Below are 15,197 nucleotides of genomic sequence, written 5' to 3'. Positions count from 1 at the left end.
AAAGCAGGGCCAGGCATGGTGGCTTATACCTGTAATCCCAGCACTTTGGAAGGTCGAGGAGGGCAGATCACCTGAAGTCAGGAGTTCGAGACCAGCCTGGCCAACATGGTGAAACCCCATCTCTACTAAAAATACAAAAATTAGCCAGGCATGGTGGTGGGTGCCTGCAATTCCAGGAGGCTGAGGCAGGAGAATCGCTTGAACCCGGGAGGCGGAGGTTGCAGTGAGCCGAGATCATGCCATCGTACTCCAGCCTGGGTGACAGAGTGAGACTCCATCTCAAAAAAATAAAATAAATCAAATCAAATCAAAGCAATCAAGTATCCATAGTCAGGACCTGATATGCAGGGTTTGGCTGGGACCCACCCCACCACACTAGGACCCTGCCCGGGGGCCGACGCTTGCGCCTGTCCTAGCTGCGGTGGGCTTCCACAGCCCCGCCCCTCCAGCCACCACCCCTTCCCCAGGAAACTCGCTCATCCTGCAAACCTCCACTCCCCAAGCCCTCAGACTCTAGATCCTTCATAAGTCCTCACCCTGTGAAGTCACCACTTGTCATCAACCATGTGTGTGTGTGTGTATGATTGTATGAGCGTGTGTATGCGTACGGGTGTGAGTATGCAAGTGTGTGTGAGACAGAGTGTGTGTGTGAGTGTGCATGAGATGACTTGCTACCATAGGCCCCAGTCAGTGCCCCCACCACCATCACAGCCCTGACATTAATGATGCATATTGAGTGAAATTTTGAAGACATAATAATCGCTAATGTTTACCGAGCACTTACTATACACGGGGCCATTTGTGAGTCTCCTCTCTGCATCCTCGCAGCAATAAGAACAGCTCATATTTATTGAGTCCACACTGTGTTCTGGGTCCCAGCCTGCAAACATTACATGTAGTACCTCATACTCTTCACATCACTTCTACACCATCTGTGCTGGTCAGTTTAATGTGTCAACTTGGCTAGGCTCTAGCACCTAGTTATTCCACAAAGCACTAATGCAGGTGCTGCTGTGACGGTATTATAGTTATCATGGGTTAATGTCTGCAGTCGGGGACTTTAAGTAAGGATTGTCCTTAATAATCTGGGGATCTCATCCAATCAGTAGAAAGACCTCAATAGCAAAACTGAGGTTCACTGAGGAAAATAAAATTTTGCCCCCGGTCTAGTCCACAGCATCAGCTCCTGCCTGCAGGCCTCTAGTCTGTCAGCCTGCCCTGCAGATTTCAGCCTTACTAGGCCGGACTCCACAGTCCCACAGCCAATTCCTTAAAATATACATATTTAAATTCCTGATTCTGTTTATCTGGTATAACCCCTACCAATGAACCATATAAATTTATAAATGGAGACTCTGAGGCAGGGGCAGATTTCTAGAACTCGCCCAAGGTCAGTATATGCCAGAGCTTGGATTCAAACCCAGGCATTCAAGCTCCAGAACTGGCCCCCTTAATGACCCACAGCACTTGGTCTCCAGCAGTGAGATCTTCCTTCCCTGCTGCCCTTCTTGATTAAAGAGAGGTGCCAGGGCCAGGGAGGGAGGGTGCAGAGAGGATTGTGGTGGAGGAAGTGCAGTTCTACTACAGCAAAAGTTGAGTTAGAAATTCCTGCCACAGTTGGATATGGGTTGAGTTGGGTCAAGGATGGCAATCAATAAGGTTAATAAAGCATAACTTGAGTTTTTATTCCCCCTGTCATGATGGATGAGGCCTTTGAAGCAACTAGCAGAGGCCTCACCCTGAGCATCCAAGAAAGATTTGTGGGCACATTTGTATGAAGGATCTCCTTCCAGCTCCCATGAGTGTTTAAGTTGACTTGCTTCAAACCAAGATCAAAGAATAGGCTGGAGATATTGTTTCACCGATTTGTATAAATCAGCCAGACAAACTGTGGCCTCGACAACTACTGATGTTTCTCCAGTTGGAGGTAAGTTGTTAAGAAACATGTCAGGCAGCTGCAAAAATCTGAGTGCCTCCTTGGGAAAGAAACATCGAGAGGCATTGATCACTTGCCGCCTGACTTTACCTTAACTATTTCTGAAGCCATAATTGAGAAGGCCTCAAGGTCCACTTTTCACATATCCTTCAACCTTTCAGAATGGGTTTGAGTGATCATTTTTAACACTAATGCCTGATATGTTTGTAGAGTTTCCAAATGGTCACAGACATGGTCTTGTTTCGGCTTCACAACAATCATAGGAGGTGAGGGAGGGCAGCAGAGATTTCTGCCATCTTGCTAATGAGAAATTGAGGCTCAGGGGTGTCAAGGGTCCAGCCCAAGGTCACCCAGACACACAGCCATTGGTTCACATGCAGGGACTAAGCTGGGGGGGCGTCTATTCCAAGCCATACATACTTCTCCCATCTGTACATTCCCTCCTCACTTTGCTGATGTTTCCTGGGGGCTTTCTCCATGCCTGGTCTTGGGCTGGATATTTTCACTGTCTCTCACACTCTTTAAATATTTCCTTCTTTTGCCTTAGAGTATGCTTTGAATGGTGGTAGTAGTGGCAGAAGCTACTTTAGAGAATTCTACGAGTGAACATTCTCATAAACACACACACACACACTTATGCCAGCCAGAGTCCAGGAGATTTGGGAATCACACAGAGAAGAATCACCTCATTTCCCAACTGCATCTGGGACTGTCTTCCACACTGCAGAGATGGTCTTTAAATCCATGTAAAGTAATAACATTTGTTAATTTTATCAATTTAGTGGAGCACTTAACATCAGCCAAGCACTTTTTATATACTAGCTCTTTTAATTCTTTGGATAATATTCAATCTCCATTGTACAGACAAGGAAACAGAAACTGATGCTCAAGGTCCATACCTTCTCCAAAGTCACACAGAAAATATGAGACAGAATGCTGACTCCAAAGCCCTGTTGTAGGTGCTTTGTACGATTAACCTTGCTTCATAGTATTTGCTTTGCTTCATATCATTAATATATTAAAGGACACATTATTTTTAGTGGAGAAAGTTTATTTTTAAAAGAAGTTGAACTGCTTCAGATGTAGAATGCTGGAAAGACCCTCCTACTCCAATAGAAAACCAAGCCAGATAATTTGAAAATTTGCAACTTTTCTTTAATCCAGCAGAGATCTGAGTTACAAGGCAACCAGCTAACCTGAAATGTAAGGAAAGATAGGTACCTCTAAGGAGAGTATTCCAGTCCTGGAATACTTGCTTACCTGGAGTAGGTGCCATCAGATGCTGGCAGGAAAAAAAATAGCTAGAATATTTAACAAATTGCTAAAGGCTGAGCGTGGGCTGCTGAGACTATATGGCACTTCTGAGAGCCACAGACATAAGATGAATTCACTCTATATGCAGGCTTGTTTCCATAGCTGAACTGAGTGCCCACAAAAAAGATAGGAAAGGGCAAGATGAGAATACTGAGAAAGCATCCCTTGCAGCATAGGACTGGGGAAGGAGGACAGAAACCACTGCAGAAAAAGCACAGATCCTCACCTGGATCTCCCTAAAATGTCTAGGGGAAGGGCAATGAAACCTACTGCCATGAGGGCACTAATGAAAATTATTGAAACTGACTGAAGGAAACTACAACAGCAGCAAACCACCCTCACACTATTCCTGGTGTATAGTAGGGCGGGCAGGAATGCATCCTAAGCCCAGACCAATAGCTGGGAGCTAAACAGAACCATGAAGTGCCTGGCTAAGACTGAGACAAAATAAGCACAACAGAGAATATTCCCCAACCCCTACTACCAGGCAAACAGATATAGAGTAGCAGGTAACAGTGGTCTCTTCCCGGGAGAGGGACAAGAGACAGGAGAGAGACTCAATCTGTGGCAAAGCACAAAGGAAGACTAAAAGCTGAGGGTGGAGCAGAGGTTGAAAAAAATCCTCTGGCAAACCAGCGCCCAACTTAAACTCAAACTAACATAAAAGGACTTTGAAGCTGGCAGCACACTGGGAGCAACTATAGCCAACAATGAAATCTAACACATCTGAATTCCTAAATAGACCAACTCAACTGCCCATACTGAAGTCCTAGCAGAAATAAAGACATGCTCCATTCCCAGATGTCAAAACCTCAGTATCTATTGTCCTACATAAGATGTCTGGCTTTCAATAAAAAAATGTGAGGCATTCAAAGAAGTGAGGGGAAAAAAAACCACACTGTCAAGAGACAAAAGAATCAACAGAATTAGACACAGCTATGATACAGATGATGGAATTATTAGATAGGAATTTTAAATAACTGAATAAAATGTTATAGACTGTAGTGGAAATGAGAACACCATGAATTATCAAATGGGTAAGTTCAGCAGAGGAGTAAAATGATAAGAAAAAAATCAAATGGAAATTCTTGAAATAAAAATCATGCTCATAAAGATAATGATTTTGACAGACTCATCAGTAAATTTAACACAGGTAAGAAAAGAATCAACTAACTTAAGATAGGTCACTAGAAATTATTCAAGCTCAAAGAGGAAAAGGAGCTTTAAAAATAAGCAGAGTATCCAAGAATTGTGAGACAATAACAAATGGTCTAGCAGAACAGTAACTGGAATTACAGAATGAGAAGACAGAATGAGGCAGAAAAAAATATTTGAAGAAATAATTATCTAATTGACATTTATAGAACACTCCACCCAAGTACACAAGAAACATTAACCAAAGCAAACCATTTTATGGGCCATGAAACCAATATTAATACATTAAAATACAAAAGATGTACATTAATACATTAAAATAGTTGAAATTATACAAAAAGCATTTTTCAAAACTAATGACAGACACAAAACCACAGATCCAAAAAGTTGAGAGTACACCAACCAGGATAAATTAAACAAAAACAAACACCTAGAAATAGCTTATTCAAACTGCTGAACACTAAAGATAAAGAGAAAATCATAAAGGTAGACAGAGAAAAATAATACATGCAGAGGAACAAAGATAAGAATTACATCAGACTTCCCCTGAGATGTCAGGCAAGCCACAAGACAATACAAGTGCTAAAACAACAACAACAAAAACTATCAACCCAAAATGTATCCCAGCCTGTGGGCCAAATCTAGCCCACCGCCTGTTTTTGTAAATAAAGGTTTTTACTGGACCAAAGCCACACAAGTTTATGTATGTATTGTCTATGGCTGCTTTTACACTATGACGGGTCCAGAATTTGTGGCCTACAAGACCTAAAACATTTACTATTTGACCCTTTACAGAAAAAATTTGTCAATTCCTAATCTAAAAGATAACTGACTTTCAAAAAAGTAGTAGCAAAAACAAAAGTAGTAACAAGCTGTTGTGTACTCATAGCATACATAAAAATAAAATATTAATATATGACACCAATGACACAAAAGTGTTGGAGAAAAGAATAATTAGCATATTTTGTAAGTTTCTTAGACTAGATATAAAGTAGTATCATATTATTTGAGGTTAGAATTTTTAATTAAAGATTCATGTTATAAAACTTGGGTCAACAACTAAAAATTTTTAAAGAGACATAAATAATAATAAGCCATTAGTGAAGATGAAACAATCATAAACAAAAGAAAGGAAATAATGAAGATAAGAGTAGACATTAATGAAATTGAGAAAAGAAAATAATGAAGCCCATAGCTGCTGCTTTGAAAAAAAATAATAAAACAGATAAACCTCTGTCAAGACTGACCAGTGGAAAAGGACAACACAAATGATCAATATCAGGAATGGAAGATTGAACATTGAAAATCACCTTACAAAGAATAGATAATCCTATATCTATTAAGGAAATTTAAATGCATAATTAAAACTTTTTTTTTTTGAGATGGAGTCTCATTCTGTGACCCAGGCTGTAGTGCAATGGCATGATCTCAGTTCACTGCAACCTCCCGGGTTCAAGCAATTCTCCTGCCTCAGCCTCCCGAGTAGCTGGAATTACAGTCGCCTGCCACCACGCCCAGCTAATTTTTGTATTTTTAGTAGAGATGGGGTTTCACCATGTTGACCAGGCTGGTCTCGAACTCCTGTCCTCAGGTGATCCACCCACCTCGGTCTCCCAAAGTGCTGGAATTACAGGTGTGAGCCACCTGGCCAAAACTTTCTAAAAAGAAATCTCTCACTAGCAGTCAGCACTTGTGAAAAAAAAGGAAGGAAGGAAGGAAGAAGAAGGAAGAAAAAAAAAAAAAAAAACTCCAGGCCCAAATGGCTCCACTGGTTATTTCTACTGAATATTTAAGAAAGAAATAATACCAATTTTACACAATTTCTCCCAGTATACAAAAAAAGGAGGGTGCGTGTTCCAACTCATTTTATGGGATCAGTATAACCCTGATATCTAAACCAGACAAATACATTATAATAAAAGAAAACTACAGACCAATAATCCTCATGAATATAAATAATATCCTTAACAAAATGCAAGCAAAAAAAAAACATATATAAAAAGGATAGTACACTACAGCCAACTGGGGTTTATTTAAGGAATGCAAGGATAGTCTGACATTCAAAAAACTCAATCAATGTAACTCACTGTAATATCAATATTCAATGTAATATCATCAAACTGAAGAATAAAAATCAAATAATCATCAGAAGAGATACAGAAAAAGCATTTTATAAACACATATTCATGATTAAAAAAACTCTCAGGAAACAAAGACTAGAGGGGAACAATCTCAACCTGATAAAGGACATTACAAGAAAACTTACAACTCTAATGTCATACATAACAGTGAAAGACAATGCTTTTCCCCTAAGATTGAGAACAAGGGATGATACCAGCTCTCATTCCTCCTGTCTAATACTGTATCAGTACAATAAGGCAAGGGAAAAAAAGACATCCACATTGGAAAGGTAGAAACACAATGGATAGAAATTTAAAATAACTATGAATAATATGTTACAGACTCTACTGGAAATGAGAACATCATGAATTATCACATGCATAATTTCAGCAGAGGAGTGAAACTATAAGAAAAAAATCAATTGGAAATGCTGGAAGTAAAAACAACACTCACACAGATAAAGAATAATTTTGATAGACTCATTAGTAAACTCAACACAGGTAAGAAAAGAATCAACTAACCTGAGGATAGGTCAATAGAAATTATTCAAACTCTATTGCTAGATGACATGATAATCTACATATAAATTTCAAACAGTCTATTAAAAAGCTACTAAAACTAAAAAGTGAGTTCGGCCAGGTCACGTTAATAAGATCCATATTCAAAAATTAATTGTATTTCTGTATACTTGGCAATGAAAATTGAAATTTTTTAAGATACCACTTACAATAGCACCGAAACCTATAAAATACTTAGGTATGGATCTTATAAGAGACATGCAAGCTCTATATGCTGAAAACCAAAAAGACAATGATAAAGGAAATCAAAGACCTAAATAAATGGAAAGACATGCCATGTTGACAAAGACAATATTGTGAAGATGTCAATTCTTCCAAACTGATTTACACAGTCAGCATAATTCTAATCAAAACCCATGGGAGGCTGGATGTGGTGGCTCACATATGTAACCCCAGCACTTTGGGAGGCTGAGGCAGCAGGATCCCTTGAGCCCAGGAGGTCAAAGCTGCTGTAAGCCATGATCATGCCACTGCACTCCAGCCTGGGCAGCAAAGCAAGACTTAAAAATAATGCAGAGTTTTTTGTAGAAATCAACAAGCAGATTCTAAAATTTTTATGAAAAGATAAAGAAAAAATAACAAAAGTGATCTTGAAAAAGAAGAATAAAGTTAGAATAGAACTATATATATATATACAGTTATATATATACAGTTATATATATATACAGATATATATATACACATATATGTATATATATGTATATATATATATATGTATGTATATATATATATATATATATATATATATATATGTATGTATGTATATAAAATATTTTTTGGAGACAAGGTCTTGCTCTGTTGCCCAGGCTGGAATCCAGTAGCACAATCATAGCTCACTGCAGCCCCGAACTCCTGGCTCAAACAATCCTCCCACCTCAGCCCTTTAAGTAGGTGGGACTACAGGCCTGTGTCACCACGCTCAGTTAATTTTTTAAAAATTATTTTTTGTAGAGATGGGGGTCTCCCTATGATGCCCAGGCTGTTTGTGAAGTCCTGGCCTCAACCAATTCTCCCACCTTGGCCTCCCAGAGTGCTGGGATTACAGATGTGACCCACCACAGCTGGCCAGAAGAATATATTTTAAATAAAGTCACCCTACCTGATTTAGTACAAAGGTAAGATATTCAAGAGAATGTGGAATTAGAGAAAGGGCAGACATATAGACCAACGCAATAGACTATAAAGTCCAGATATAGGCCTATACAGAGTGGGTCAGTTGATTTAGGACACAGTTGCAAAGGCAATTAAGTAGAGAAAAAGTAGTCTTCTCAACCAATGGGGTTGGAATAATTGGATATTTATTTTTAAAATGAACCTCCATTCATATATCACACTATATCAAAATATTCACTCAAAATAGATAATAGACTTCAATGTAAAACTTTAAACTATAAAACCTTCAGGAGAAAACATAGAAGATAATCTTTGTGACCCTAGATTAAGTAAATATTTCTCAGATATGGCCCCAAAAATATAATCCACAAAAGAAAAAATTGATAAATTATACTTGATCAAAATTAACAACCTATGATCTCTGATATGGTTTGGCTGTGTTCCCACCCAGCTCTCATCTTGAATTGTAGTTCCCAAAATCTCCACATGTCATGGGAGGGATCTGGTGGGAGGTAATTGAATCATGGGGGCAGTTACCTCCATGCTGCTGCTCTTGTGATAGTGAGTGAGTTCTCACGAGATCTGATGGTTTTATAAGGGGCTTTTCCCCCTTTTGCTTGGCATTTCTCCTTCCTGCTGCCATGTGAAGAAAGACATATTTGCTTCCCCTTCCTCCATGATTGTACATTTCCTGAGGCTCCCCCAGCCTTGCTGAACTGTGAGTCAATTAAACCTCTTTCCTTTATAAATTACTCAGTCTCAGGTATGTCTTTATTAGCAGCATGAGAACAGACTAATTAATACAATCTCCAAGAGACATCATTAAGAAAATTAATAAGAAAGCTAGCAGAATAATTTGCTAATAACATATCTAGAAAAGAACTTGTATCCAGAATATGTAAATACTCAATAAGTTCAATAATAAAACACAAACAATTCGAATTTTAAAATGGGCAAAAGGTTTGAAATCTTCACCAAAGAAAATATAGTGATTTTAAATAAGCCCATAAAAAGGTGTTAAACATCATTAGTCATCAGGAAAATACAAACTAAAACCACAGTGAGATACTAGTACATACCCATTAGACTAACAAAAACAAAAAAAAAAATCTGACAACATCAAGTGCTGATGAGGATATGGAGCAACTGGAACTCTCGTACATTGCTGGTAGGAATGCAAAATAGTATAGCCACTCTGAAAAACAGCTTGGCCATTTCTTACAAAGTTAAACATGCATGTATTAGACAACATAGCAATCCTACTTATCGGTACTTACCCAAGAGAAATGAAAACCCATGCTCATGAAAAACTTGTACGTGAATGTTTATAGGGGCTTTATTTGTAACTGCCAAATCTGGAAACAATCCTAATGTCCCTCTACAAATTATAGTGTAGGCCTACAACTGAACACCACTCATTATTAAAAATGAATGAACTACTGATACAGGCACAATGTGAATGGATATCAGATGCATTCTGCTAAGTGAGAGAAGCAAGACTCAAAAGGCTACGTGCTATAAGATTCCATTTATGGGACATGCTAGAAAAGACAAAACTATAGGAAAAGAAAACAGATTATTAGTTGCAAAGGACTGAGGGTGAAGAGAGGTTGTCATCCCCAAGGAAGGATTTAGGGGTGAAGGAACCCTTCTATATCTTGATGTGATGGTTGCACACTGGATACATTTATCGAAATTCCACAGAACTGTACACTAAAAAGACGAGACTTTACTGCATGCAAATTATACCTTAATGAAAAATGAGTAAAAAACAGAAATGGGAAGCAGTATCTTTCATGGCAAATGGAAGATAACCATCTTTTGTTTTAAAGACAATGAAAACAAAGCATTGAAATAAAATTTTGGCTAGATACCGCTCCCTGGTCACAAGCTCTGAGCCTGAGGACTGCTTTACCTCAGTAAAGGAGAGCTTGACAAGTGTTAAGTGGTGTCGAAGATACACCAGCACCCAACAGAGACTTTTTCTTTCACAATACAACCAAGAAAAGATTCAATGATAGTTCGTGGCTTATCTACATAGCACCTGAAATCATTTCTGCCATATATGGTGGGAAACACATCTCAGGCTGGGCCTCCAAGGGAAGCAGCCTGGCTGGGTCCCCAACAGCTTTTTGCCAGCCTTCCCTGCCCCCTTCCCAGAGCATGCACACTTTGCAGCCTCCTTCCTGGTCTCCTTCCCCAGAGTCTGTACATTTTACTGCCCCCAAAGTTGAGAAAGCATCACTGCCTGGCAGGGCCCTAAGCTTCACTCCTTCTCAGGAAATCTGCACTTTCACTAGCTTTTGGAGCCAGAACACTTCAGAGGTTCTTCCTCTCCTGGTACAGCTGCTGATGACTGAGAACAGACTTCTGAATCTTGAGGATGCTCAAAGCCCTCCGTCAGCCTTCATCGCACCCAGAGAAAGTCCACAGCTTCACCCCATTTCCACCAGGGGCTCATCCCCACCCTTCCCAATACGCATTTGTTGAATGAATGACTGTGTGATGGGCTTTTCTGGTTTCTAGTTTTCTGTAATAAGACTGTATTTTACCTTGTAATAAGTAAAAAGAGAGGAAAGAAACCTGCACCCCAGATGACGGAAAGTTGTAGGGTGGAAAAGGCGAGTGTATGGCTTCTCACAGCTGAGGACCATGCTGGACGCTGTTCATCTCCCTTCAATGTGCCTGGGATGTTTAACGGGTGAATCATCTGGGTCCAGGTGGAGAGAGGCTTGCTGAGATCATACTGGTGGATGGTGGTTCAGCAGCACTGGAGCCTGGACTCCTCACCCATGGCATCCTGCCTCCTCCTTCCCCTCATCACCATGAGTCAGCATTATCCAGCACGGCCCTGTGCCAGGCTCTGGTCTTGGGGGCTTTACCCACATCATCCCATTTACTCAGAACAGCCGTCCAAGACTGGTTCATGTGGTACAACAAATGTACAAACATCAAAATCACATACATGACGGTGAGCCACCCCCACGGACCTGTGTTCCCCCAGGGAGCAGCAGGGGCTGGCCCCTGTCCCATGTCCACACTAAAGCAGACCTTACTGTGGGGGCAGGATCACCAGCACTGGTTTCTTTGTTCCCGTCCCCTGCCCCTTTTACATTTTTTGTAGAATATAGATATTGAAATCCACCATACACTCTCTTTTTCAATAAGCCACGCAGCCCTGGAGACACAGCTGGACCCTGTGGATTTGGCAAGATGCAGGAGTAAGCCATCTAGAGCCACCTTGGGGACTGGCTTCCAAGGAGATGCCCACTGGTTCTCGCCAACACATGCAGACACCCACTGGCTTCCCACAACGTTCAGGCTGAGGTCTGGGCCATGGCGCCCCAAAAATGCTTTCTGTTCACCTTTGGTGCCACCAGGCCACACACATCTAAGCTATGATAAATATGGTAGCAAAGAAGACACAGGGAGGACTGTCACGCACACCATCCTGTATCACCCAAGCTCTCTTCCCACTTCATGGCTCCTCCACGACCCGCAGAGTCCACAAACAGGGCCAGGGGCACTCAGACCCCTCATGGTCCTCGGCCTTTGGTGGGAGATCTGGTTTTACTTTGTTCAAATTGTTTGCTAAAACTAATGGCATGTTTCTTAATTTCCTGGAGCTTGGGGAAAACAGGCCAGAAAAAAAAAAATCAGCCTCTGATTCATTTTCTCCCTTCCTTCCCCAAATGAAAGAGAAAACTGAATGAATGCCTGTGGTTGACAGATGTGAGTATCTTAAATCAAAGTCCTGCTTCCCCCTGTGGTGTAGAATCTTGGAGGAGCCTTCGAAGCTAGCTCCTTTCAACAAGTTTCAATAAAAGTGCCCTGCCATCAACAAAGGCACAAGCAAGTCTCAGCCCCATCAAATCCAAGCGTTTGTCACCCTGAAGCCTGGTGGGAAGGCTCTTGGGGTGGGGGAACCAACGGGAGGCCGGGGGTGGAAGGAACAATATCTTGTTAACCTTTTTTCTTAGGGGCAGTTTGCAACTTCACTACCACCCCAACTTGCATTTACCTTGGCCTGAAGAATTGGGACGTTCTGCAGTAAGGTCCATAAATTCCTTTTTTAAGCTAGCGTGAGCCAAATGTAACAAGCAGCTGTCCAGACCTGTTTAAAAAGAATAAACCCCAGCTAAGCGCATAAACAACAGCCCACTGCCTTTTATCATACAAACATGGCGGGAGAGCCAAATGCGCTACAGAGCCTAAACACAGATTCTCATTGTTATCTCATTAAGTCCATTAAATAAGCAGGAAGGAAAATGCTTTCACATGTTGAGCCTGCTTTAAACTATCAGGGAACAGATTAGAGTTAATTAATGCTGTGAACTCTGAAACTGCTAGCCCTGGGTGGGGGGTGGGGGTGGGGGTGCTCCCAGTGGAATCCAGGTCTGCACCTGTCACAGACATGAGTTCAGAAAATCTAAGTGGACTCTGACGTGCACCTCCCTCCCTCCCCCGGCCCTACGCATCCCCGGTGCTGGAATCTTCAGTGCCTAATCTGTAACTCACGAATCAGGATCAAGAGATAAACCCCCACCTCTGAGACAGACAGTCGGTAGACTCCAAGCAGAAACTGTGCAAAAGTCTCTTGCCGGTGCTCCGGAAATTGCCAGGGGTTCCAGGCCGCAAGGCGAGACGGCTAAGTTGCTTCTGACAAGTTGGAAAGAGCTTATCAATTATTCATGAAACTGGATAAACATGGATTTTATCTTGTAGCATGAATCAAGAGATAAAAATTCTATTTCAAGAGGGAGGGGTGGAGACTAAACCCTGAGTGTTAATTGTAAACTGAAAAAAAAAGAAGAGGGAAGGAAGGGAAAAATAAGGTCTTAGGCTTGGGTTGTGGTGTGAGCACTTGTCCAAGATCCCAGCCCCCAAATTTTGCTTCTCCAATTCCCCAAGACCCCAAACTAGGCAGACAGCCAGAAGAGAAACAGAGAATGCCGTCTGTTCACCTTGAATTTAGCTAACCTGCTCCCTGGGTGATACACCAAGCCTCTTACTGGTGTAACGTGCCAGCCGGAACAGAACCACTTGCAAGCTGATGGTGGGGGGATTGTAAACCCCCAAACACCACCTCTTTTAAGGTATTTCTGTTTAAAATCAATGTGCTGCTTCCAGACTGAAATCCAAAGCAGAGGAAAGTATACAAACAGCTGCCTAACAAGGCAGAAGGCTCAAAGCAAAACAAAACAAAACAAAGGCAAATCCAATATGCAGGATATTTTGGCCAAAAAATAAGATTTCTTTTTTCGTGTCCTTCCCCTACTACCCGTAGCGTTGCATCTAACAGTTCCTTAAAGACTAGGAAATTAACCCAAAAGATGAAATTGAAGAATTAGTGGTTTATTAAGGCATTCACATTATTAAATTTGACTGTAGATGAGAATATTTATATGTATATGTGAAATTCATCCATCCGAGTGTTAGCAGGAGTTGTCCCCGGGTTGAAGGACGATGCGTGACTTTCATTTTTCTTCTTTCCACTTTGTATTTTCTAAATAGCATATTAGGACCACTGTTAATTTTACAATGAGAGAGAAATAATAAACTTAGTGCTTTTAAAATCCTATATGAGGAGCATATATTGATTTTTATAATGGGGGCTAACAATAAACTTTATAACTGACATAATTTGAAGCCACACATGTTTCCTGACTTTTCTTTTTCCCTCCTTCGACAAAAGCCTCTCAAAACAAGGAAGCTGTCACAATAGCTTTTGCCTTTTCTTGCGACCCAGCTGGTGGATGGCGGCGGGGGGAGCCGATGGGTATGGAAAGGTGAGACCCTGCTCCAAGCAGCTCTTCTGCACACACAAGCAGACATCAGAGAATGGGCACCGAACCATGCTCTTCTGCAAGCCCTGGTGGATCTACATCACTCCGGACTGTCAGTGCCACGGCCAGAGGGACCTGAGTGTCTGGGTGACACCCAACCACCATTTTGGCCATCCCCCTGCCCCTTGCTGTGCCTCAGTCTCTCTATAGTCTCTTTTGCTTATCATACTTTTCGGACCGCAGACACAGAAAGTTGCATGTAACATTACTGAGTCCATGGCATGCTAACAACCTTGGTCTATGTTGGGACCCTCATCTGTCTTATTTTATTGTATAAATTTTTCCCTTTGCCCCTCTTCCATCTCCACACCCATTTCCTTCCTTCTTCCTCCTGAAAGACATCCCCTGGAGTATGTCTGATGGATTGCCTTAGACACACACAAGTTAAATGCATGCAACACTTGCGTGCAGGTTTGTGGTCTGGGCTTACATGAGTGCCCTTCTGCTCAGGAGACGATGCGCTTTCCGGATCTGTCTACGTCATCGCGTATCTCATTGCTCCAACAGCCATGGATCCCTCTTTGCAGTCTTCACAGTTGATAGACACTTAGAGGCCACCACTTCCCACCCCATGAAGCGCACTATGGTGACCCTGAGATGACACGGGGGAGGAGGAGGCTCAGAGACTGGCCTCTCTGCCTCCCTTCCCTGTCCTCTCCTCTCTAGGTGGCTCCCAAGAGGCCATTTGAAAATGAGTGGACCTGGTCTGCAGAGGCCTCCCAGCTCCAACACCCTGCAGTGCTGAGCCCAACATGGGGTCTTGGGTGATGTGAGCCACTCATCCACAAACCTACCCAGTCCCCTCAGAAATAATGGTGACATCTGCCCTCTTACCAAGGACCTGCAGCCCACCAGGCTCCACAGCCCACCAGGCCCCACACTGAGGGCTTTACTTGTGTCATCTCATTGCATTCTCCCCAAAACCTGAGGATTCTCCCTTTGCAGGTGAGCAACACAAAGCTCAGAAGGCTGTGCCCAAAGGCCCAAAGTCATGTACCTCATGAAGGGCGTCACCAAGACATGAGCCCCATTAGACGCCCAAAGCCTTCCTTCTGCCATGAGCGGGGCAGCCTCTCCTCCATCCTGCATCAACAGAAGCCCTTGCTCAGGCTGAATTTTCTTGCCTCCCAAGTA

The 15,197-nt window shown here is 41.9% G+C and overlaps 1 long non-coding RNA gene across 1 annotated transcript in view; it reads right to left on the bottom strand.

Moving 5' to 3' along the window:
* APCDD1L-DT (APCDD1L divergent transcript) overlaps positions 1-15,197 on the bottom strand; it is a 104,514-nt gene that overhangs the window by 83,848 nt on the left and 5,469 nt on the right. Inside the window, exons 3-5 of the long non-coding RNA NR_034147.1 lie at positions 14,494-14,655; positions 12,764-12,876; positions 12,239-12,331 (exon numbers count right to left, since the gene is read on the bottom strand). This is a non-coding gene — a long non-coding RNA (APCDD1L divergent transcript). The remainder of the gene's footprint in view (positions 1-12,238; positions 12,332-12,763; positions 12,877-14,493; positions 14,656-15,197) is intronic.

This window comes from Homo sapiens, chromosome 20 (assembly GCF_000001405.40).
Source record: "Homo sapiens chromosome 20, GRCh38.p14 Primary Assembly".
Taxonomy (NCBI): Eukaryota; Metazoa; Chordata; class Mammalia; order Primates; family Hominidae; genus Homo; species Homo sapiens.
This window is presented reverse-complemented; position numbering and strand designations above follow the sequence as displayed.